Source organism: Homo sapiens, chromosome 1 (genome assembly GCF_000001405.40).
Source record: "Homo sapiens chromosome 1, GRCh38.p14 Primary Assembly".
Taxonomy (NCBI): Eukaryota; Metazoa; Chordata; class Mammalia; order Primates; family Hominidae; genus Homo; species Homo sapiens.
Window position 1 is genome coordinate 108,781,635 of NC_000001.11, and position 24,829 is coordinate 108,806,463.

At 37.2% G+C, this 24,829-nt stretch overlaps 1 protein-coding gene across 1 annotated transcript in view; it reads left to right on the plus strand.

Annotated features, from left to right (window-relative positions):
* Positions 1-24,829, plus strand: part of STXBP3 (syntaxin binding protein 3) — a 62,850-nt gene that overhangs the window by 34,961 nt on the left and 3,060 nt on the right. Inside the window, exons 10-17 of the mRNA NM_007269.4 lie at positions 788-883; positions 1,015-1,072; positions 11,948-12,013; positions 13,193-13,273; positions 14,600-14,738; positions 14,986-15,092; positions 16,511-16,603; positions 18,586-18,671. Of these exons, the coding sequence (NP_009200.2) occupies positions 788-883; positions 1,015-1,072; positions 11,948-12,013; positions 13,193-13,273; positions 14,600-14,738; positions 14,986-15,092; positions 16,511-16,603; positions 18,586-18,671 (726 nt within the window). The remainder of the gene's footprint in view (positions 1-787; positions 884-1,014; positions 1,073-11,947; positions 12,014-13,192; positions 13,274-14,599; positions 14,739-14,985; positions 15,093-16,510; positions 16,604-18,585; positions 18,672-24,829) is intronic.

The following is a 24,829-nucleotide window of genomic DNA, read 5'->3' on the forward strand; positions in this document are numbered from 1 at the left end:
TGATAAATGTTTGTGAATTTTGTACCAATTCTGAAACACCTTCAATATTTAATAGGTTATATTGGGGAGGATATTCCTGTTTTGTTTTGTTTGAGTCAGAGTCTTGTGCTGTCACTCAGGCTGGAGTGCAGTGGTGCGATCTCTGCTCACTGCAAACTCTGCCTCCCAGGTTCAAGTGATTCTCCTGCCTCAGCCTCCAGAGTAACTGGGATTACAGGTGTGTGTCACCACACCCTGCTAAGTTTTTGTATTTTTTTTTAGAGACAGGGTTTCACCTTGTTAGCCAGGCTGGTTTTGAACTCCTGACCTCAAGTGATCCGCCCACCTTGGCCTCCGAAAGTGCTAAAATTACAGGCGTGAGCCACTGCACCTGGCCGATATTCCTGTTCTTAATGGAAATTTGATAATTGTACTGTGGGTTATTAGCACATCAAAACAATGTTGTAGGGAATTAGAACACAAAGCGTTAGTATATTGAGTCTTGTTCTTAAAGTTAACTGTAGGACGTTGAATTTTTTTTATAAAGTACAATTTTGCTGAACTAAAACTCTAATAATGGCACCTAAACTGAATATTTGAAAATGTCTTGGTAGGCTTAGGACTTATTTTTAATGTAAGGATAGCAGCGTGCCTTAGTTTTGAGTAGGTATTCATTACCCCCCTAAAATAGTGGATTTTACTTTTCAGTTTCTTGAGTTGTGTCTTGAAATTATTGTTTGTAAAAATGTTTCTTTTGATTTTGGAGGGAAAAAAATCAAAAAGTTTTAGTGCTTCTGTCTACTTGTAGATATAAAACAGATGGAAAAGAAAAGGAGGCCATCCTTGAAGAAGAAGATGACCTCTGGGTTAGAATTCGACATCGACATATTGCGGTTGTGTTAGAGTATGTGAACTCATTTTAATTTTTGTTCCATAATTTTTAGACACTATGTGATAGTACATTTTGTAACCTTAAAATAGTTCTGTAAAGAATTACATCTTAGAAATTTAAAGAATTCTCTCACAATTTGACAGGGAAATTCCCAAGCTTATGAAAGAAATTTCATCAACAAAGAAAGCAACAGAAGGAAAGGTAAGAGTCTTACTTAACTTTCAAAGTAATAGTGAAGGTGAATTTTAAAGTTTGTTTAAAATCTTTATTTTATTTCTGTAACTTTTTATTTTTGGAAAGTTCTAACATGGAGGTAGAGAATGAACTCCTACGTACCCATTGCCTAGTTTCAATAGTTAACAACATTTTTGTCTGTCCTGCTTCATTAAAATTTTTTTATTTTATTTTATTTTTTGAGACATAGTCTCACTCTGCCATGCAGGCTGGAGTGCAGTTGCGCCATCTCAGCTCACTGCAGTCTCCGCCTCCCAGGCTCAAGTGATTGTTTTGCCTCAGCGGGATTACTGGTGTGCACCACCACACCTGACTAATTTTTGTATTTTTAGTAGTGACAAGGTTTTGCCATGTTGGCCAGGCTGGTCTCAAACTCCTGGCCTCAAGTGATCTGCCCACTTTGGTGCTGGGATTACAGGTGTGAGCCACTGTGCCTGGCCATAAAGTTTATTTTAAGGCCATTTAGTCAATTTTATCAATGCATTGTTGGGATTTTACATTCAGATATAATTTATAAGTAAAGCACACAAATCTTAAATTTATACTGGATAACTTTTACTTATATATACCCTTGAAACCACCACTTTAAATCAAGATACAGAACATTTTCATCATTCCAGAATATTCCCTCTTGTCCTTTCCCTGTCAGTACCCCTCCTGCCAGAGGTAAACTCTATTCTAATTTTCATCACCATAGATTGTGTTCTTGAACTTCACATAATGAGATTCACCTGTGTTACGTATTTTAGTAATTCATTTTTTTCATTTGTGTATAGTAGTAATACCATTATGTAAATATACAACAATTTGTTCATCTTGTCTCCTTTTGATGGACATTTAGTTTGTTTCCAGTTTGGGATTATTATGAACAAAGCTGCTATGGATTTTTTTGTACATGTAATTTGGTGGACATACACACTCTTTCTCTTGGGTATATTAAGAGTAAAATTATTGGGTTATAGGGTAGGATTGTGTTTAGCTTTAATAGGTAATGCCAAAAGTTTTGCAAAGTGTTTCAACTGATTTACATCCCCATCAGCAATAATTGAGTGCTCTAGTTGCTCCATATTGCCACCAACACTTGATATATTCTTGTCTTTATTTTCAATTAAAATTTCATTGCACGAGATGGTATCTTATTGTGGTTTTAATTTCAATTTCTCTAATGTTCTTGTGCATATTGGCCATTAGGATATTCTGTTTTGTGAAGTGCCCATTGAAGGTCTTTTGCCCATTTTTAATTGAGTTGTCTGTTTTTCTTATTTCTAGAAGTTATTTTCTGGATATGAGTCCTATACATGTATTTATGTATGTATGTATCTTTTGATGAACAGAAGATCTCAATTTTAATGAAATCTAATTTATCAATTTATTTCTTTTATACTTTCTCTGTGTCCTTAGAAGTCTTGGCTTACCCTGAGGTCATTAATATATTCTTCTGTTTTCTTCAGTAAGGCTGATCATTTTAGCTTTTACATTTAAGTCTGTAATTCACTATATTAGTCCATTCTCACACTGCCATGAATAAATAGCTGAGACTGGGTAATTTATAAAGAAAAGAGGTTTAATTGACTCACAGTTCCACATGGCTGGGGAGGCCTCAGGAAACTTAACAATCATGGCAGAAGCCACCATGTCACAGGGAGAATGAGTGCCAAGCAAAGGGGTAAGCCCCTTATAAAACCATCAGATTTTGTGTGAACGCACTATCACAAGAATAGCATGGGGCAAACCGCCCCCATGATTCAGTTATCTCTACCTGGTCCTGCCCTTGACATGTGGAGATTATTACAGTTCAAGGTGAGATTTGGGTAGGGAAACAGAGCCAAACCGTATCATTCTGCCCCTGGTACCTCCCATATCTCATGTCCTCACATTTCAAAACACAATCATGCCCTTCCAACAGTCCCCTACAGTCTTAACTCATTCCAGCATTAACCCAAAAGTCCAAGTCCAGAGTTTCATCTGAGATAAGGCAAGTCCCTTCTGCCTATGAGCCTATAAAATCAAAAACAAGTTAGTTACTTCCTAGATACAATGGAGGTACAGGCATTGGGTAAATACACCTGTTCCAAATGGGAGAAATTGGCCATAACAGAGGGGCTTACAGGCCCCATGCAGGTCCAAAATCCAATAGGGCAGTCATTAAATCTTAAAGTTCCAAAAGGATCTCCTTTGACTCCGTGTCTCACATCTGGGTCATGTTGATGCAAAAGGTGGGTTCCCATGGCCCTAGGCAGCTCTGCCCCTGTGGCTTTGCAGGATATAGCCCCTCTCCCAGCTGCTTTCATGGGCTGGTGTTGAGTGTATGCAGCTTTTCCAGGCACATGTTGCAAGCTGTTGGTGGATCTACTATTCTGGGATCTGGAGGATGGTGACCCGCTTCTCACAGTTCACTAGGCAGTGCCCCAGTGGCAACTATGTGTGGAGGTTCCAACCCCACATTTCCCTTCTGCACTACCCTAGCAGAGGTTCTCCATGAGGGCTCCATCCCTGCAGCGAACTCCGGCCTGGACATCCAGACATTTCTATACATCCTCTGAAATCTAAGCAGAGGTTCCCAAACCTCAGTTCTTGACTTCTATGCACCCTGTAAGCCCAACACCACGTGTAAGCCACCAGCTTGCACCATCTGAAGCAATGACCTGAGTTCTACTTTGGCCCCTTTTAGCCACAGCTGGGATGCAGGGTACCAAATCCCAAGACCACACAAAGCGGCAAGGCTCTGAGCCTGACCCACGAAACCATTTTTTCCTCCTTGGCCTCTGGACCTGTGATGGGAGGGGCTACCACGAAGGTCTCTGACATGCCCTGGAGACATTTTCCCCGTTGTTTTGGTGATTAACATTTGGCTCCTTGTTTCTTATGCAGATTTCAGCAGCCAGCTTGAATTTCTCCCCCGAAAATGGGTTTTTCTATCATATCGTCAGGCTGCAGATTTTTCAAACTTTTATGCTCTGTCACCTCTTGAATAAATGACTGCTGAGAAGTTTCTTCTGCCAGATAACCCTAAATCATCTCTCTTGAGATCAAAGTTCCCCAGATCTCTAGGGCAAGGACAAAATGCCACTAATCTCTGCTAAAGCATAGCAAGAGTCACCTTTGCTCTAGTTCCCAAGAAGTTTATCATCTCCAGCTGATACCACCTCAGCCTGGATTTGATTATCCATATCACTGTCAGCATTTTGGCCAAAATCACTCAAGTTTCTAGGAAGTTCCAAACTTTCCCACATTTTCCTGTCTTCTTCTGAGCCCTCCAAACTGTTCAACCTCTGCCTGTTACCCAGTTCCAAAGTTTCTTCCACATTTTCAGGTGTCTTCACAGTAGCACCCCACTCCTGGTACCAAAACTGTATTAGTCCATTCTCACGCTTTTATGAAGAAATACCTGAGACTGGGTAATTTATAAAGAGATTCAGTTGACTCACAGTTCCATATGGCTGCAGAGGCCTCAGGAAACTTATAGTCATGGTGAAAGGCACCTCTTCACAGGGTGGCAGGGGAGAGAAAGAATGCCGAGTGAAGGAGGAAGCCCCTTATAAGACCATCGGATCTCATGAGAACTCACTCACTATCACAAGAACAGCATGGGGGAAACTGCCCCCATTATTCAGTTATCTCCACTTGGTCCTGCCCTTGACGCGTGGGGATTATTACAATTCAAGGTGAGATTTGGGTGGAGACACAGAGCCAAACCATGCCATTCACTCAAATTAATTTTGATTTATGGTGTGAGGTAAGGGTCTAGCTTCATTTTATTTCGATATACATATCTGATTACTCAAGCACTGTTTATTGTAAAGACCATCCTTTCACCATTGAGTTGCAGTAATGCATTTGTTGTGAATCAAGTGACCATAAATGTGTGGGTCTGTGGACTCCATGTCCTTTTCCATGGTCAATTTGTCTATCCTTGTAACAAGACCACACTGTCTTAACTAGTGTACCTTTGTAATGGTTTTGAAATTTGGTAGTATAAGTCTTCCAGCTTTGTTCTTCAAGATTGTCTCAGCTGTTACAACCTTTGTCTTTTAATACACATTTTAGATTCTGCTTGACAATTTCAACAGAAACATTTAACTGAAATTTTGATTGGGATTACATGAATCTGTACACTAATTTGGGAAGAACTGACAAAAATATTGCATCTTCTGATCCAAGAACATAGAATATAGCTCCACTTATGTAGATAGTTTATCTCAGCCGCATTTTATAATTTTCATTTTAGTGGTATTGCACATTTTTTCTTTATTTCTAGGTATTTGATTTTTTGGTGTTATAAATGGTATTTTTTAAATTCCATTTTACTTTATTAGTATATAAAATGTGATTGATTTTTGTATATTTACCTTGGATCTGGTGACCTTGCTAAATTTATTTTTTAATTCTAGTACTTTGTTTATAGATTGGCTTTTTTGTTTTTAAGAGATCGGAACTCTGTTGGCCAGGCTAGTCTCTGAATTCAAGCAATCCCCCCACCCTTGCCTCCCTAGTAGCTGGGACTACAGGCAGGTACCAGTGCACCTAGCTGGATTTTTATATACACAGTAATATAATCTGTGAATAAAGAAAATTTAGTGTCTTCCTTTCTAAATTAATCTTCCAGAGGTGTCCAAAGGAGAGAATACAGTCATGGGTTCTTAGTTTCTGTTTCGGCTAGTAAAGTCCCTTCCTTATCCCTCTTTTCCACTTATCACTAGAGACAGAAACTAAAAACCATGGCTTCAGGCTGCAAAAAGCCTAAAACAAAACAGAACAACAACAACAACAAAATAAGGTGGGTTAGACAAGCTTGTCATACGTTTAAAATTTTTTTTTTTTAGTAGTTAATACCTCCTGGTTCTGGCTGATACCTCCAGTATAACATGAAATCAAACTGGTGATAATGAGCGTCCTTGTCTCATTCCCAGCTTTATGGGAAATGAGTTCAATATTTCATCATTAAGTATTATGTTAGTTTTAGGTAGTTTTCTTTTATCAGATTAAGGATGTTCCTTTCTATTCTTAGTTTACCAACAGGTTTTTATGTGTTTCTGTTTTTTGTTTTTTTCTTTTTTCTTTTTTTTAAGAGACAGGGTCTTGTTCTGTCACCCAGGCTGGAGTGCAGTGGTGCAGTCTCAACTCACTGCAGCCTCAACCTCTTGGGCTCAAACGATCCTCCCACCTCAGGCCCCCAAGCAGCTGGAATTACAGGTGTGCACCACCATGCCCAGCTAATTTTTGTGTGTTTTTAATAGAGACAGAATTTCACCATATTGCTCAGGCTGGTCTCGAACTCCTGAGCTCAGACAATCCTCCTGCCTCAGCCTCTCGAAATGCTGAGATTACAGGCGTGAGCCACCACACCCAGCCTGTTTCTGTTTTCTTTTAATCAGGAAATTTCGATGTTGGATTTCATCAAAGGCATTTTGATATTGTCTTTTTTTCCCCTTTATTCTGTTAATGTGATGAATTACATTTATTGACTTACTAACATAAAAGTAACCATTTCTAGAATAAACTCCACTTGATCATGATGCATCATCCTTTTCCTCTATCACTGGATTTTGTTTGCTAATATTTTGTTGTAGGATATTTGCTTCTATATTTATGAGAAATACTTTTCTGTAATAGTCCTTTTTTGTAATGTTCTTGTCAGGTTTTAGCAGCAAGATTTTTTTGGTCTTATGAAATGAATTGTGATGCACACTTTGTCATTCCATTCTCTGAAAGAGTTTGTGTAAGATTGTTACTGCTTGTTCTATTGCTGCTTGAAAGAATTCACCATTGAAGCAGTTCAGGCATAGAGACTTCTTTATGGGGAGGTCTTTCGTTATAATTAATGATAAGTTATTTAATAGATATAGAACTATTTAGTTTTTTACTTTTTCTTCATTAGTTTTGGGATATCGCATTTTTCAGGGAATTTGTCTATTATATCTAAATTTTGAAATGTCCTCTTATCCTTTCAATATGTGTAGAATCTATAGTTAGATTTTATTTACTAATCTTGCTATTGTTAATTTGTTTATTCCCCTATATATTATTAATATCCCCTGCAGTCCGGGCACGGTGGCTCACGTCTGTAATCCCAGCACTTGGGGAGGCCAAGGCAGACGGATCACCTGAGGTCAGGAGTTTGAGACCAGTCTGGCCAACATGGTGAAACCCTGTCTCTACTAAAAAAAATACAAAAATTAGCCGAGCTTGATGGTGCCTACCTGTATCCCAGCTACTCGGGAAGCTGAGGCAGGAGAATTGCTTGAACCTGGGAGACGGAGGTTGCAGTGAGCCAAGATAGTGCCACTGCACTTCAGCCTGGAGAAAAGAGTGAGACTCCATGTAAAAAAAAATAAAATAAAATTCACTGCATATGTTATTAATATTTCAAAGAACCAACATTTGTCTTTGTTGATTTTCACTCTTGCATGTTTTATCTTTAATTAGCTGATTTTTACTCAGTTTTATTTCCTTCCTTCAGCTTACTTTGTTTTAAATGAAGCTTGTCCAACCTGTGGCCCATGGGTCACATACAGCCCAGGACGGCTGTGAATGTGGCCCAACACAAATTTGTAAACTTTCTTAAAACATTATGAGATGTTTTTGTGATTTTTTTTTTAACCTCATCAGCTATTGTTAGTGTATTTTATATGTGGCCCAAGACAGTTCTTCTTCCAGTGTGGCCCAGGGAAGCCAAAATATCGGACACCCCTGGTTTAAATTTTTTCTTCTAGCTTCCTGAGTTGGAGTTTTAGAACATTGATTTCCAACCTTTCTTCTGTTCTATTGTATATATTTTATAGTTATTTACATCTTCAAACTTAGCTGCATCCCAGGAGTTTTGGAATAACTTATTTTCATTTAGTTCAAAACATTTTCTAACCCTTATTATGATTTCTTCTTTGACCCATGTGTTATATAGGGAATACGTTTTTAAATTTCAAAGCATTTGGGAATTTTCTAGTTATCTTTCTGTTACTGAGTTGTAATTTAATTATACAGTGGTCAGAGAATGTGCACTATATGACATCAGTCTTTTAAAATATGTTAAGACTTGATTTATGGGGCTGGGCATGGTGGCTCGTGCCTGTAATCCCAGCACTTTGAGTGGCCAAGGCAGGCGAATCACATGTGGCTAGGAGTTCAAGACCAGCCTGGCCAACATGGCGAAACCCCATCTCTACTAAAAATACAAAAATTAGCCATGTGTGATGGCACACACCTGTGGCTCCAGCTACTCAGGAGGCTGGGCAACAGAGTGAGACTCTGTCTCAAAAAAAAAAAAAAAAAAATTGATTTCTGACCTAGCATATATTATCATAAGTGCCCTATGTGTACTTGAAAGGAATATAAATTCTGTATGTGTCAGTTAAATCAAGATGGTTAATCATGTTCAAATCTTCTATTTCTTTTCTGATTTTTTTTTACCTGCTCTGTCAGTTACTAGAAGTGGTATATTAAAAACTCTGATCATGACTGTGAATTAGTTTGTTTTTCTTTAGTCCTTTCAACTTTTGAAGTTATATTAACTGATAAAGCTATGTTAAGTTCATTATACATTTAAGATAGCTATCTTTCTGTTGAATTTGGCCTTTTATCATCATAAAATGTCCCTTTTATTACTTGCAGTATTTCTTGTCTTGAGGTCTACTTTGATGTTAATACCACTATATCTTCTTTCTTTTGTTAGTGTTTACATAGTATATCTTTTCCCATCCTTTACTTTCAACTACCTGTGTCTTGATATTTAAAATGTGCTTCTTAAAAAGAGCTTGTAGTTGAATTTTGTTTTTTTATCCAGCCCAAAAATCTTTTAATTAGAATGCTTGTTTAGTTCATATATATTTCATGTAATTATTGATATAGTTAAATTTATATCTAGTATCTTGTTTTCACTTCATTTTTTATATTCTATTCTTTTCCTTCTTTATCAAGTCTTTTTTAAAAATAAATTCCATTTCATCTCCAATATAAACATTTGTGTTTTGCCTTTAGTCCTTCCTTTAGTTATTATACTGGAAATTTAAAAATGTATTCTTACCCTAGTTTAATAGTATGTCCTGAATATGTCATGTCCTGAATAATTCAGGAATCTTATAATAGTTTAACTTTATCCCCTTTCTCTTTTGTGCAGTTGTTTCATGTATTTTACTTCAATGTATGTTATAAACTCAAGATGTTATTTTTTTCAGAAAGAAAAACCCAAAAAAATAAAAGCAAGATGTTATTTTGTTATAAACACTCAGTAGACTTTTATTATTACCCACATATTTATACATTCTGGTACTGTTTATTTCTTACTGCTCTTCAGTTTTTCCAGCTGGGTTAGATTGAATTCTCCCAGCTTTCTTTTTGTCTGAGGGCATCTTCGTTTTGCAATTTTTTCTAAGATACTTTTGCTGGATTTGGAATTCAAAGTTGGCAATTTTTTTCCTTTCAGCAATTTAAAGCTTTCAATACATCACCTTCTGGCTACCATAATTTCTGCTGAAAAAAGGCAGCTGTTAAGTATTATTGTTTTCCTGAAGATAAACTGTGTTTATTAATATTTTCTCTGTATCTTTGATTTTTTAGCAATTTGACCATGATATGCCTTACTGTAATGTGGTTTGCTTGCTATTTATCCTCCATGGGGTTTGCTGAGCTTCTTGAGTCACTGGGTTGATAACTTTCATTATGTTTGTAAAATTCTTGGTCATTATCTCCTCACATCTTCCTTTTGTCCCATCCTCTCTCTTCTCTCTTTCTGGGACCCCAGTCAACATGTTTTTTAGATCTCTTGACTGTATTCTATATCTCTTGCATTCTGTTACCTTTTTTTTTTTAACCTCTCCGCATTGCAACTGAATGTTCTCTATTAACCTGACTTTGAGTCCCCTACTTCTGTCTTCTGTTGTATTCAGTCTGCTATTAAACCCATTCATTGTATCCTTTTGAAAACTGAGGTATAAAGCAAAATTTCCCCTTTGTAGTATACAGTTCTGTGAGTTTTGACAAATGCACACTCTCATATAACCACTACCACAATCAAGATAGAGAATAATGTCATCACCCCCCAAAATGTCCTCATGCCCGTTTGCAGATAACCCCTTAACTCAGTCCCCATCCCCTGACAACTACTAATCTGTTTTCTGACCCTGTAGTTTTGCCTTTTCCAGAATGTCCAATGAATGGAGTAATACACTATGGCTCTTTTCATTTAGCATAATGCATTTGAGATTCATTCATGCTGCATGCAAGAGTAGTTTCATTACTTTTTATTGCTGAGTAGTATTCCATCATATGGATGTACCACAAGTTGTTTATCAATTTACCAGTTTCAGAACATTTTAGTTTTTCCAGTTGTTGGCAATTATGAATAAAGCTACTAAAAATATTCACCTTCTTCATATCAGACATTCATGTCTATGAACAGATGTTATCATTTGCTAACTTAAAGTCTTATATTTAACTCTAGGACATTCATTGGATTTTTAGAAAATAAATTCTAGTTCTCTGTTAAAATACTCCATCTTTTGATCCATGTAGTCCATCTTTTCCTCTGTTTCCACTTTAACATAAATGTGTTACTTTGAAGTCTTTTTCTGCCAACAACATCTTAGGTCTACTTTTTGGGAGTTTCTTTGTTTTTACATTTTGAGGTGTTCTTTTCTTAGCTTTTTTATTGATGCATAGTAACTGTACATATTTATGAGGCATGTAATATGTTTATACGTGCATACAGTGTGTAATGATCAAATCATTGTATTTAGAATACCCATCACCTTGAACATTTATTATTTCTTTGTGTTGGGGACATTTCCAATCTTTTCCTCTAGCTATTTTGAAATACAAAATATATGTTAACTATAGCCATCATTGTGATATCAAACACTAGAACTTATTCCTTATCTTGGGTCTACTTTTATTGACTGTTTTGTCACTTGAGTATCAATCACTTTCCTGTTTCACCTATTAATGTTTTATTGTGCTAGACATGGTGGATGATACATTGCAGAGGTTCTAGATGATGCTGTCTCTACACAGAATGTTGAGTTTTGTTCTGGCAGGCAGTTAAGTTGCTGAGGAATAATCGTGATTCTGTTGTAACTTCATGTTAGACAATGTTATGGTAAATTTATTTCACTTTTGCACTGAGTCCTAAGGCATAGTCCCAGGACTGAATGTGTAGGATGTTCACTTAGGTCTCTTTACTTTGTCTAGATCAGGAGATGCTAGTATATTCTTAGCACTAAGACCCCTCTGAAATCTTGTCCAACATTTAGCCACCCAGAAGTTGTTCTTTACTACACCTTTGAGGGTTATGCCCTGTACATGTGCAGCTTAGGGGTTCAAGGACAATCTCTTTACACATTTTTGGGTTATGTTCTGTCTAGCTCCTTTCTTTTTAGCACTCTGCTTCCCAAAATCTACCTCACAGCCCCAAGCTCTTATCTCCATTTTTTTTTTTTTTTTTTTTTTTTTTGCACCCAGGGAGATAATTGCTCTCTACTTGAACTGTATTTCCTTTCAGTGGTGTTTGGAAAACATCTTTAGGGAAAGGAAGGGTGCGTGCAGGGATCACCTTTGGTGCTTTCCTTCACTCAGCTGTCTCAGCTGTGAGCTATTTTTATCCATTACTTGAAAGCTATTGTTTTATTTATTTGTCCAATCTTATTTATTTATGAAGGGAGAGTAATGTTGATATCAGCTACGTTATTGTGAGTGAAACTGGAAGCCTCCTAAATTCTTCTTTCAAAAAAATTGTCAAATATTCAGTAAATTAACTAGATTTGATAATTTGTAAAACTCTAGGATTTCAAAGTTGTAATATGGAATAACTGAATCATAGGCTTGCCTAAAAAAATGTTTGATTTTTCCTAGACATCACTTAGTGCTCTTACCCAGCTGATGAAAAAGATGCCCCATTTCCGAAAACAGATTACTAAGGTAAGCAGTATTGTATATGAGATACCTGATTAGTTTTAGTTTATATTCAGTTTATATTCAGTTCTGTAGTTCGATTTAGCAGTGGGTTTCGTGGAATACTTGGTGTTATTTGTCCTCTAAAACCTTACTATAGGTCTGAGAGATATCCCATATATCTAAGCTTCTTCATAACTTCTCTATATGTATAACCTAGATTTATCTGAATCCAGCTTAAAGTTTCTATATCTTTGTCTTGAATAGCCTAACAGAGTCACATTTATCAACCTTACAAGAAATTCAGCACTAGATTGACTAGTGGATGTTATTCTACATGTTTCTTTAAAGTAATAGTTACTTACTAGTAGATTTAAGAGCATTTAAGCTGTTTAGTCAGGTAAACTATTTTTTTGCTCCTTAAAAACACTATCAGAATAATCTTAACATTTTTGTCATGTTGCACCCTAGTCAACCAATGATTTTTGTGTGTGTTAAAATACTTGAAACATTTAGAAAGATAAATAGAATATGAACTTGAAGAACTTCTGGGTATTTTTCTCATGTTATTTTTCATTACTGTCAAACTCAACACAAATTCAACAATTCAATGCTTCCATCCCATTTATGCTGTCTGTTGATTGCCTCCTGTTGTATTAGTCTGTTCTCACATTGCTGTAAGGAAATACCCAGGACTGGGTAATTTATAAAGGAAAGCGGTCTAATTGACTCACAGATCTACATGGCTGGGAAGGCCTTAGGAAACTTACAGTCATGGCAGAAAGCAAAGGGGAAGCCAGGCACCTTCTTCACAAAGCTACAGGAGGGAGAAGTACAAGCAGGGCACATGCCAGACACTTGTAAAACCATCAGATCTCATGAGAACTCACTTACTATTATGAGAACAGCATGGGGAAAATCACTCCCATCATCCCATGTTCCAAACACTTCCCATCAGGTCCCTCCCACAACACATGGGGATTATGGGAACTACAAGATGAGATTTAGGTGGGGACATAGCCAAACCATTTCACCTGTAAATCACCTTCTCATTTACTTCCTTTCTTGAGCTGTTCCCTTGCTTACATGTTACCTTCTTTCACCTCAGCCCATACTTTCTTTCAGGCCTGTCTCAAAAGTTTAATATTACCAGTTGCACAAAAGTCATTAAAATCCTTTAAATGATTGATTTCTTCTGTTTTTCAGCAAGTTGTCCATCTTAACTTAGCAGAAGATTGCATGAATAAGTTCAAGCTTAATATAGAAAAGCTCTGCAAAACTGAACAGGTATGTGCAGAGTCAGAAATGCCTCTGTTCATAACAAATTTCAAGGATAAACTTTGTAAGTTAAAACCTAACTTTTTGCTTGATACAGTGGTTGGTTTTTACAGAATCACAGACTCTCTCTTATCAGGGGAGCCACCTAGGCAGTATTTAATGTCATTCCCCGCTAACATTAACAAGTAGCTGTAGAGTATCTTAGTAAACAGTCCCTCCTAATATATTATATATTTTTTGTTTAATGGAATGATTTAAATTTTGGGAGCATGATTTCAGGGTGGCATTATTGGCAGGACCTTCTCAGTACGGGATTTAATATAGCATCCAGCAGAGCTCATTTTACAAGGGGCCTTTTATATCATGCCTCAACTGTTTAGACCATTGCCCCTCATAGAATACAAGCTGCATGTAATTTTAATTATTCTAATAGCCATGTTAATGCAGGTAAAAATTAAAAAGTGCAATTAATTTTACGAATAAGTTGGGTGCAGTGGTGTGTGCTTATAGTCCCAGCTATTCAGGAGGCTGAGGTGGGAGGATTGCTTGATCCCAGGAGTTTGAGGGCAGCCTGGGCAAGACCCTGTCTCTTTAAAAAAAAAAAAGAAAAAAAAAACTTTGACAACCTGATGTATTCAAAATATTATTTCAACATATAATCAGTATAAAAAGTTATTAATTAGATAATTTTGCATTGTATTACTTCAAGTCTCCTGGTGTTTTGTACCTACAGCACATCTTAATTCAGACTGATCCCATTTCAAGTGTTCAGTAGTCATATGTGGCTAGTGGCCACAGTACTGGATAGCATAGGTTTAGATTAATGATTTTTATCTTCTCTGATTTATTTTTTGACCTTTTGTATTTTGTATAAACAATAGTTTACAAGTGATGTTCATATTTTCTTGTGTAATGTCATCAGTGTTCCATTAAAATTTGACAAGATTTAATAATAGATTTTGTGTGTTTGTTTTTTGTTTTTTTGAGACGGAGTTTCGCTCTTGTTGCCCAGGCTAGAGTGCAATGGCCCAATCATGGCTCACTGCAACCTCTGCCCACCGGGTTCAAGTGAGTCTCCTGCCTCAGCCTCCCGAGTAGCTGGGATTATAGGCACCTGCCACCACGCCCGGCTAATTTTTTGTATTTTTAGTACAGATGGGGTTTTACCATGTTGGCCAGGCTAGTCTCCAACTCCTGACCTCAGGTGATCTGCCTTGGCCTCCCAAAGTGCTGGGATTACAGGCGTGAGCCACTGTACCCAGCCAATAATAGATGTTTTTAACTAAAAAATGAATTTTGGTTATAGATCACTGACAATATTTTATTTTCATTAAGGACCTGGCACTTGGAACTGATGCAGAAGGACAGAAGGTGAAAGATTCCATGCGAGTACTCCTTCCAGTTCTACTCAACAAAAATCATGATAATTGTGATAAAATAAGAGCAATTCTACTTTATATCTTCAGTATTAATGGTAATGGAGATAATCACTTTTTAATAAGTATTTTACTATTGATCATAAAAGAATCTTTGAAAACTGAAAGATAGTTGCTGAACTTGGTTAAGATAAAAGGGAAAATATGAAATCGAGAGAAGACTGAAGGAGATATAATTTGACTGTTTTTTATTTTAAAAGCTTCATTCATGGGTACTACCTAAAGCCTTGAAATTATTTTGGTAGCAATTGTGTGATTGTGCACTCATATTTTTACCTATTTAAGGAACTACGGAAGAAAATTTGGACAGGTTGATCCAGAATGTAAAGATAGAAAATGAGAGTGACATGATTCGTAACTGGAGTTACCTTGGTGTTCCCATTGTTCCCCAAGTAAGAAGTCTTATGTTGTGTATATACTTTATATGTATGTGTATGTATGGTTGTATGTATTAACTGTTTTTTTTTTTTATGTGGACAGTCTTCTTAAGTTCACTCTATAGATTTTGAATAAGTAAGCAATTAAAGATTTTGTTCTCTTTTCCATATGTAATTTGGGCAAATGCAGTTTTCTAGCGAATTTGTATTTTATGGCTTCTGTCATAATTCACTACTTACATTTTTGTCTTTATGATTCATTTATAACAATTGTCATATTTTAGTTAAACGTGTAACCTTTAACTATAATATGGCAGAGAAAATAAGTATATATTTTCTTGATTAAAAAAATTTAGGCTCGCTGGGTATGGTGGCTCACACCTGTAATCCCAACACTCTGGGAGACGCTGAGGCAGGAGGATTTCTTGAGCCCAGGAGTTCGAGACCAGCCTGGGCATCATAGTAAGACCTCGCCTCTACAAAAAACAAAAAAATAACCAGGTGTGTTGGTGTGTACCTGTAGTCCCAGCTACTCAGGAGGCTGAGGATCTCATAAGCTCAGGAGGTCAAGGCTGCAGTGGGCCAAAATCACACCACTGTACTCCAGCACAAAGTGAGACTCTGTCTCAAAAAAAAAAACAAAAAAAAAAGGCTCAAAGTCAAATTTTGAAGAGCTCTATTTAGAATCTCACTCTTTCCCATCTTTTTTTTTTTTTTTTGAGACAGAGGCTCTCTCTGTAGCACAGGCTGGAGTGCAGTGGCATGACCTCGGCTCACGGCAACCTCTGCCTCCCAGGTTCAAGCAACTTTCCTGCCTCAGCCTCCCATCTGGGATTACAGGCGCCTGCCATCCGCCCAGCTAATTTTTGTATTTTTAGTAGAGACAGGGTTTCACTCTGTCGGCCAGGCTGCTCTCAAACTCCTGACCTCAGGTGATCTGCCCGCCTCAGCCTCCCAAAGTTCTGGGATTACAGGTGTGAGCCACTGCATCTGGCCCCATCAAGTTTTTTTGTGTGTATGTGTGTGTGTGTGTTTTTTTTTTGAGACGTAGTCTCACTCTGTCACCCAGGCTGGAGTGCAGTGGCTCGATCTCGGCTCACTGCAAGCTCTGCCTCCTGGGTTTATGCCATTCTCCTGCCTCAGCCTCCCTAGTAGCTGGGACTACAGCCATCAAGTTTTATAATACTTTTATTTTAATAGACATATGTTCTGATATGATTATAAATAAATTTTAGCATTAAAGCACAAAATACTGTTCAGTGGAGTTATGCGACCACACTCAGATTTTTTAAAATAGGCATCTCCACTCTTAGTTTTAAGTCAAATACAATATAGTATTTACTGGTAAATTAAATATCTTCGTTAGGAAACGTAAGAGTATTATATTTGAATAGAATTACTGGTTTTTAATTTTTTTCCTCTAATTGTATTAGTCTCAACAAGGCAAACCGTTAAGAAAGGATCGGTCTGCAGAAGAAACTTTTCAGCTCTCTCGGTGGACACCTTTTATCAAAGATATTATGGAGGTAAAAATCATTAAAATGTTTTTTTCTACCTGAGTGCCCTCTTTAGAGTATTCTTTACTTTTTGTAGTTTATGTCAGTCTGAGTATATGTATTGGGCAGGAAGTTTCTGCAGTGGTTGGAGGCTTCACAAAAAAGCCTGTATCTGGGAAACTCTTGAAGATTCTTCTTCTTTTTTTTTTTTTTTTTTTTTCTTTTTGAGACAGAGTGTCACTCTATCACCCAGGCTGGAGTGCAGTGGCACAGTCTTGGCTCACTGCAACCTTCGCCTCCCAGGTTCCAGCAATTCTCTTGCCTCAGCCTCCCGAGTAGCTGGGACTACAGGCACACGCCACCATGCCTGGCTAATTTTTGTATTTTTAGTGGAGACAGGGTTTCACTATGTTGGCCAGGCTGGTCTCGAACTCCTGACCTCATGATCCACCCACCTTGGCCTCCCAAAGTGCTGGGATTACAGGTGTGAGCCACTGCGCCCGGCTGAAGATTCTTTTCTTAAAGACCTCAGACAAACTCACACCACTGACTGTTTCAAAAAAAATAAAATAAACACATATATGCTTTATAAAAAATACTGCTTTGTTTTAATAACTGTATGTGGCAAAATATAATTTATTTGAATGAAAGTTCAACAAAATAACATTTGTATGTGGACCACTATTAAAAAGTATTAGATGCCAATATTCTTGGAAATGTTTTTGGATTAAAATGTAAACTTCATTATAGTTTGCTGTCAGATGAATCATGCCTTTAATACTGTTTACACTTAGAGAACATTATTCAATTATAGGAAATTATAAAATGAGCTAATTTTAAAATTATGAGCTTAATAAAATCATGACACTGATTCTTCGGTCATGATCATATAGTTTTTATTCCCCTTTTCCTTTGACTTAAACCCCAGTTTATACTTTCTTTGGGGAGCTAATTTGGTACAGTGCATAACTATGATTTCTCTGTTTTGCTTGGCTAATTTTATGTTATTCACACATGCTTAAACATATATGAAAAATCTAAAGAATTTAGACTTTGTTTTCTCTAACATAAGAATTTTTTTTCCTTTCTCACAGGGATGATATAGAACTAAGTAGTTTCTTATGGCTAGTTTTTTGTTTTTTTGTTTTTAAACATATTCCTAATCAGTTTACCATGGCTAGTATTTGTAAAATAAGAAATGACTTTCTTGAACCCCTTAACAAAGATTTGCATGTTAAATTCAGAAAATACACATTTGGATCCATGACAGTCTTAGGCCTTTAGAATTTCTCCTGAAACTTGATTTCCTCCCTTCTTGCAGTCTTACTGAAATATTCTTGGACTACTGAGTACTTTGTGCCCAATCCATGTGCCCACTTGTTAATACTACTTGTACTACCATGCCGTAAAGCAGTGGTCTCCATACTTTTCAGTTCATGCACACCTAACCATAAAAAAAATGTGAGCATGAACCTATTTACTTATAAGTTAAGCATTACTGTAATAAAAAATATATAATCTATGTATACAGTATATTTATATACATACATATATCATAAAATCTAACATTGAAAAAAGGGAAAATTTTAAAGAATAAAATGAAAAGGAAAACTTCCCATATCCCATTGAATTGTCTTGAGTACCCCTAGGCCATAGCAGTAGTAGCTATGAAGGGCAAAGCTTTAGAAGTGTGTCACGACTGGAATAATGATTAGAGACCCCCGGCACCATAGAACTAAAGGCTCTGATAAGGTGCCTGGAATCCTTATAACAGCATGGGGACCCTCCAAATGAAGAAAGGGAGTCATGCAGCAAATATTGGTGTAATAAGTAAATGATTTCACTGATTTTTGAAGGAAATAAGGTTTGTGAGTTTCAAAGAAAAGACTAATCTTATACTAAATATTTATGTCTAAGGTTCCTCAATTGCAAATGCAAGTTTTGACCTTTATGCCAAACAAAGTCCTGCAATTTACAATTTTATTGATGGAATTAACTCTTTCCTTCCTTAGGATGCTATTGATAATAGATTAGATTCAAAAGAATGGCCATATTGTTCCCAGTGTCCAGCAGTATGGAATGGTTCAGGAGCTGTAAGGTAAATTCTACAAGTGAAAATCAATGAAATTTTCATTCTACGGACTAATAATTTAAAATGGTACACAGATACTCATATTTGGCAACTTTCTTTCAAGTATATAATCCTGTATTTTTTCTTTAACTGTAACTTGTTTTAAATGAATCCAGATAAGCAATATGAAAATGTACTTTATTATAAAAAATATTTTCATGAAACAAGAAGTATTTCCTTCCCCACCTCCTCTTCCTTCACATAGCAGAGACCTTAATCCTTTTTGATAATTATTTTTGTGTTGAGGTACTTTAAACATTTAAAAAGATACAGAGAATGTTACAATGCATACCCTTATGCCCAGTGCCCAGCTTATTAACTAAATCATTATAATTCAAGCTTCCTGTATATCACACTATGGTTTTATTATTTTCCCTTATTTTCTGTCCTGAATTTGGTGTTTATTGCCTGTATGTCTTTATACTTTTTCTACATATGTTTGTATCCTAAACAGTGTCTTGAGTTATATCTTGCAGGATTTCCTCTTGATCTTTGGCTTTCAGCCTTTAACTGTGTTGTGTCTAGGTATAGTTCTCTTTGTGTTTATTCTACCTGAGGATTGTTGAGTTTCTTAAATCTGCAAGTTAATAATTTTCATCAAATTTGGGAAGTTTTCAGGCATTATTTTTTTCAAATATTTTTCTGCTCCTTTCTCTCTCCTTCCTTTCTTTCTGAAACTCCTGTTACACATAAGTTGGAGGGTTTGACATTGTCCTGTGAGTTACTGAGGCTCTTTTCTTTCATCTTTTTAAAATTTGTTATTGTACTTTCACATGTAGAATTTCCATTTGATTTTTTTAAATTTCCATTTCTGACTGTTGAGATTCCCTGTTGTTAACTTGTTACCATATTTTTCTTTTTAATTCTTTTGATCATATTTATAATTGCTTGGAAGTCCCTAACATCTGAGTCTACTCAGGGTTAATTCCTACTGAATGTTTTTTTTTCCCCCAAGTATGAGTCACACATTCCTGTTTCTTTGTATATCTACTAATTTTTGGTTGAAAATTGGACCTTTTAGATAATGTATTATAGCAACTCCAAATTGTTTTAGTAATTTGTGTGGACTTTGAACTATGGAATCTTTCTCTCTTGCTCTCTTGTAGCCACTGATGTCCTTGTTGAGTTTTTAAAATTTTTTAATTTTTTATCTTAGCTTCTAGTGGTTGCCCCTATGTCTGTGTAGTTTAGAGGTCAGTCAGTTATCTGTTCAGACACTTCAAGCCTGTATGGCTTCCATCCTCTACTGATCAAGCTGAGTGTGGGTTAGGGGTTGCATTCCAAAATAGGCAGTTCTTAAGTCTCCCTCCTTTTTTTAATTTTTTTTTTTTTTTTAAATAGAGGCAAGGCCTCTCTCTGTTGCCCACACTGGAGTGCAGGAGTGCAGTGGCATGATCGTAGCTTACTATAAACTCAAACGCATGGGCTCAGGTGAGCCTCCCACCTCAGCCTCCCAGGTAGCTAAGGTTCCAGGTATATGCCACCACACCCAGCTAATTTTTAAATGTCTTGTAGAGACAGGGTCTCACTATGTTGCCCAGGCTGGTCTTGAACTCCTGGGCTCAAGCGATCTTCCTGCCTCAGCCTCCCAAAGCACTGGGATTATAGATGTGAGACACTGCAGCCAGCCCTTTTTTCCCTCATTTTTTTTCCTGGACTTTCTCAGGTTTTCCCCACACATGCATAGTTTAGCAGTCAACTAATGATGTGTAGAGAGCTTATCTTTTCTTTCTTTGGCTTCTTTACTTCTGGGATTTCCTTATTAAATTTCTACCTGGCCGGGTGCGGTGGCTCATGCCTGTAATCCCAGCACTTTGGGAGGCCGAGGCGGGCAGATCACTTGAGGTCAGGAGTTCGAGACCAGCCTGATCAACATAGTGAAACCCCATCTCTACTAAAAATACAAAAATTAGCCGGGCATGGTGGCACACTCCTGTAATCCCAGCTATTCAGGAGGCTGAGGCAGGAGAATCGCTTGAACCTGGGAGGTGGAGGTTGCAGTGAGCCAAGATCATGCCACTGCACTCCAGCCTAGGTGACAGAGCAAGACTCCACCTCAAATTAATTAATTAATTAATTTATTTATTTGTACCTGATTGGCTGCCCATCCTAAGTTGAGACCACACCTAGCAAAGCTGCAGGATTTTGTACTCGCCTCACTGCCCCACCTTGAATCAAGTCTTCCACCAATGCAGTAAAGCTATAACTTTTATCTGACTGAGCTGGGAGAGCAGTGAGGGTTAGATGCAGCCCAGGCTAGAAGGTTACATATTCACCACCACCGTTCTTACCAGATATGTTAGCAGATATTCAAGATTAAATGCTTCTCAATTTGTTGTCTGCCTATGGTTTCCAGTTAACCTGAAATGTTTTGTTTTGTTTTCCCCACAATTTCATCCAGGAATATACTTGTTTTCTTAGAGGGGAATCTCCTGACCACCTTATTCTGCCATGACCACAAGTGCTCTCTATCTTATGTTTTTAAACTTAATATAGTGTCATATTGTGTGTCCTCCTGCAGCCTGCTTTTTTGTTTCTGTCACATTATGTTTGTGAAATTTATCCCAGACTGATACATGCATAAATTTTCACTGCTAGTTGGTATATAGTTATATGAGTATAGCAACTTATTCATCTGTTTTCCACATGATAGAAATTTAGGCTATCTCAAAACTGGCATTATTACAAACAGTATGCAGTGAGCATTCTTGTACTTTTACGTATATCTGGATAGGGTGCTTCCCTTGGACTGAGGACTTTTCTTTACTTTTGTTTTATTTTTTCCTTTTCTACAAAAGGTTTGGAGGTTATGTTATCTATTTTTATTCTTGTAGCAGTTTATTACTAAGCATATTTGACTCAACAAAGTCGAAGATTAATTAGTATCTCTGCCCTCCTCTTGAACAATACAAGAACCTTAGACCAACTGGATGTAAACCATGCACCCCTTAAATGTTATAATACTTCATTTGTGTTCACTTTGTATCTTTTTTACCCCCCATATTACTAAGCAGCATTATTGGTTTTTTAAAATTCAGTTGTATGTGCATGTGAACCTGTTAAATCGCCCACCACCCCTTTCGTGTGGGCTCAGTTTCTTTCTTTCTGAAGTGTATCCTTTGATGCGGGTCTGTTGGTGGTAGTCTTTTTTATTTTTTATTTTTTTCCAAGACAGAGTCTTGCTCTGTCATCCAGGCCGCAGTGCAGTGGCACGATCTCGGCTCACTACAACCTGTGCCTCCCGGACTCAAGCAGTCCTCGTGTCTCAGCCTCCTGACTAGCTGGGATTACAGATGTGCACCACCACACCCTGCTGATTTTTGTATTTTTAGCAGAGACAGGGTTTCACCATGTTGTCCAGGCTGGTCTCAAACTCCTGACCTTTGATCTACGCACCTCGGCCTCCCAAAGTGCTGGGATTACAGGTGTGCGCCACTACGCCTGGCCAGCGGTGGTAGTCTTTACAGTTTTATCCGTTTCTTCATTTGGTCGTTGTTCTTAGCCAGCTATGAATTTCTAAGAGCTGAGTTATGTTCAGTCAACACTTGTAGAAAATATTCTGCTGTTTCCAGGGTTCTACTTTAGCTCTTGGGAAGGTGGAGGGGGTTGTGTTTTCTGTCAGTCTTGTACCTTTGTAAATAATTAACCTTTTTTCTCTGGTTGTTTTTTGTCCTCGGTTCTGTATATTCTCTGTGCTATGTGTATCTGAGGATTTATTTTTATTTCTTTCTTTGGAATTCATTTATGTTTCCTGAATCTGAGGATTTACATCTTTCATAAATTCTTCAAATATTGCCACTTCTGTAGTCTTGGTTTTGTTAGAACATCTTATTCTGTCATAATGTCTCTTAATTTCTTAAACTTTTTTGTTTCTTCTGCTGGTGTTTCATTCTAGAAATTTTTCTTCAGATTTAGTTTTCAGTTCTTTAGGTCTCTCTTACACTGTGTCTCATCTGCTGTATAAGCTGTTTTTTCTTTTTCTATTTTCAGTGACTTTATTTTTCTGTTTTAGAAGTTCTCATGTTTCTTTTTTAAACATGCTTGGACTTTTTGTTATTTCTTATTTTGTCATACTCTCTATCCTCCTTTATTGTCTATTGTCATTTTAAACATACCTAATTTGTAGTCTATATCTAATAAATTCACTAATTTATACTCTTTGGGTTCAATTCTGTTGCCTTTTATTTCTGCAGACTCATAGTTACTTATTTCAGTATGTGTCTTGTAATTTTGAATGCTGAGTTTATTTCAGTAGCCAGCATTGAGAACGCATCCCTTCAGGCAGGTTTTGCATGTGCTTTTGCCAGATTAGAGGTTTTTTCTTTTTTGTATTAATGTCTCAGTTTGGGGTTCCTCAGACCATGAAGGTAGTATGATTAATACCTAAGACTCTGTGAGACAGGCCTGTGGCTAAATTATCAGAGGAGAAGCTTCCTTGCATCTCCCCTTGCCTTTGAGGTTGTCCTGACCTTATGCAGGGTGTCAGCTCCCAATCTGTACCTTGCACAGTACCCAGGGCTCGGCCCCTTGTTTGCTAACATCAGAAAATACTCCACAAGGCAGACCAAGCCTCAACTCAGTTTACCATTCTAGTATTTAGCTTCCTTTTTACCAATAGCCCTGGAGATTTCTCTGACTTGTTTACTCTCAGCTATGCTTTAAAAACATGTTTCCTCTTAATCAGTGCTCCTTGGTGCTATTTAGAGGGAAGTTTTCAGGATCTAGGGATTTAATTATCTTTATATCTCTCAGTCTTCACATGTGTGTGAAACAAATTAAATATAATCCCGTTACTCTAAAATTGCTATTCAGAAGCTTAGAAATTGTTAGAATTGTTTTGAGCAGTGTTGTCTCCTTTTCTTTTGCCTTCTTACTCTATTTCTCTCTGTTGAAACAGTTCTTAAGCCAAAGTTATTAATACGTCCTTGACTTTGGGAACAAGAGTGGGTCTTGTTCCTGTTTCATCTTTCAAAAGGAAAGGAAATTTTTAATTTTAGTTTTTAAAATTTGTTTCCTGTTGTTCACTGCCTCATTCTTTAAGGTAATGAATGGAAGCAATCATCTGAAAGGCTAGATTCAGATTTTTTTTTTTTTTTTTTTTTTTGAGACGGAGTCTCGCTCTGTCACCCAGGCTAGAGTCCAGTGGTGTGATCTTGGCTCACTGCAACCTCCACCTCCCAGGTTCAAGCGATTCTTCTGCCTCAGTTTCCTGAGTAACTGGGACTACAGGCATGCGCCACCATGCCCAGCTAATTTTTGTATTTTTAGTAGAGAGGGGGTTTCACCATGTTGGCCAGAATGGTCTCGATCTCTTGACTTCATGATCCGCCCACCTCGGCCTCCCGAAGTGCTGGGATTACAGACGTGAGCCACCACGCCCAGCCAAGAACATTATTAAAAGTTTGCTATGGGGCTGGGTGCCGTGGTGCACCCCTGTAAGTCCACCTACTTGAGGCTGAGGTGGGAGGATTGCTTGAGCCTAAGAGTTCGAGGCTGTAGTGCCCTGTGATGATGCTGGTCCGCAGCTGCTGCACTGTAGCCTAGGCAACATAGCAAGACCCCATCTCTAACAAAACAAAAATTTGCTATGAGATCCTATACTGCAAGGCATTCTAGGTCATCCAGAACAGTGGCTCTCAAAGTAGGTAACAAAATGAACAATTGGGTACTTATTTTTACCTAAAAAAGAAGAAATTAAGTTTTACTAATATATACTAGTACACATATGTCATTTACACATTAATATATTTGTTTATAAATGAATGTTTATTTTGAAATATTTACTTTTCAAATAAAAGCTAAAAATTTTTACCAGTGGAGCTTGTGAACAAAAAAAGTAATTCCTATGCTCTAGAGCAGTGCTAGCCAATAGAACTTTCTGCAGTGATAGAAAGGTTCTATATTGGCACTGTCCAGTATGACAGCCACTAGCTACATGTGGCTTTTGGGTACTGGATATGTGGCTAAGTATGGATGAAGAACTGAATTTCTTATTTCATTTAATTTCAACTAATTTAAATTTAAATAGCCTCATGTGGCTAGTGGCTACTATATGGGATTCTGGGGATCTAGAGCAATCTGGAGGAGGAATGGTAAAAGTAATGACTACTATTTATTGAGTACTT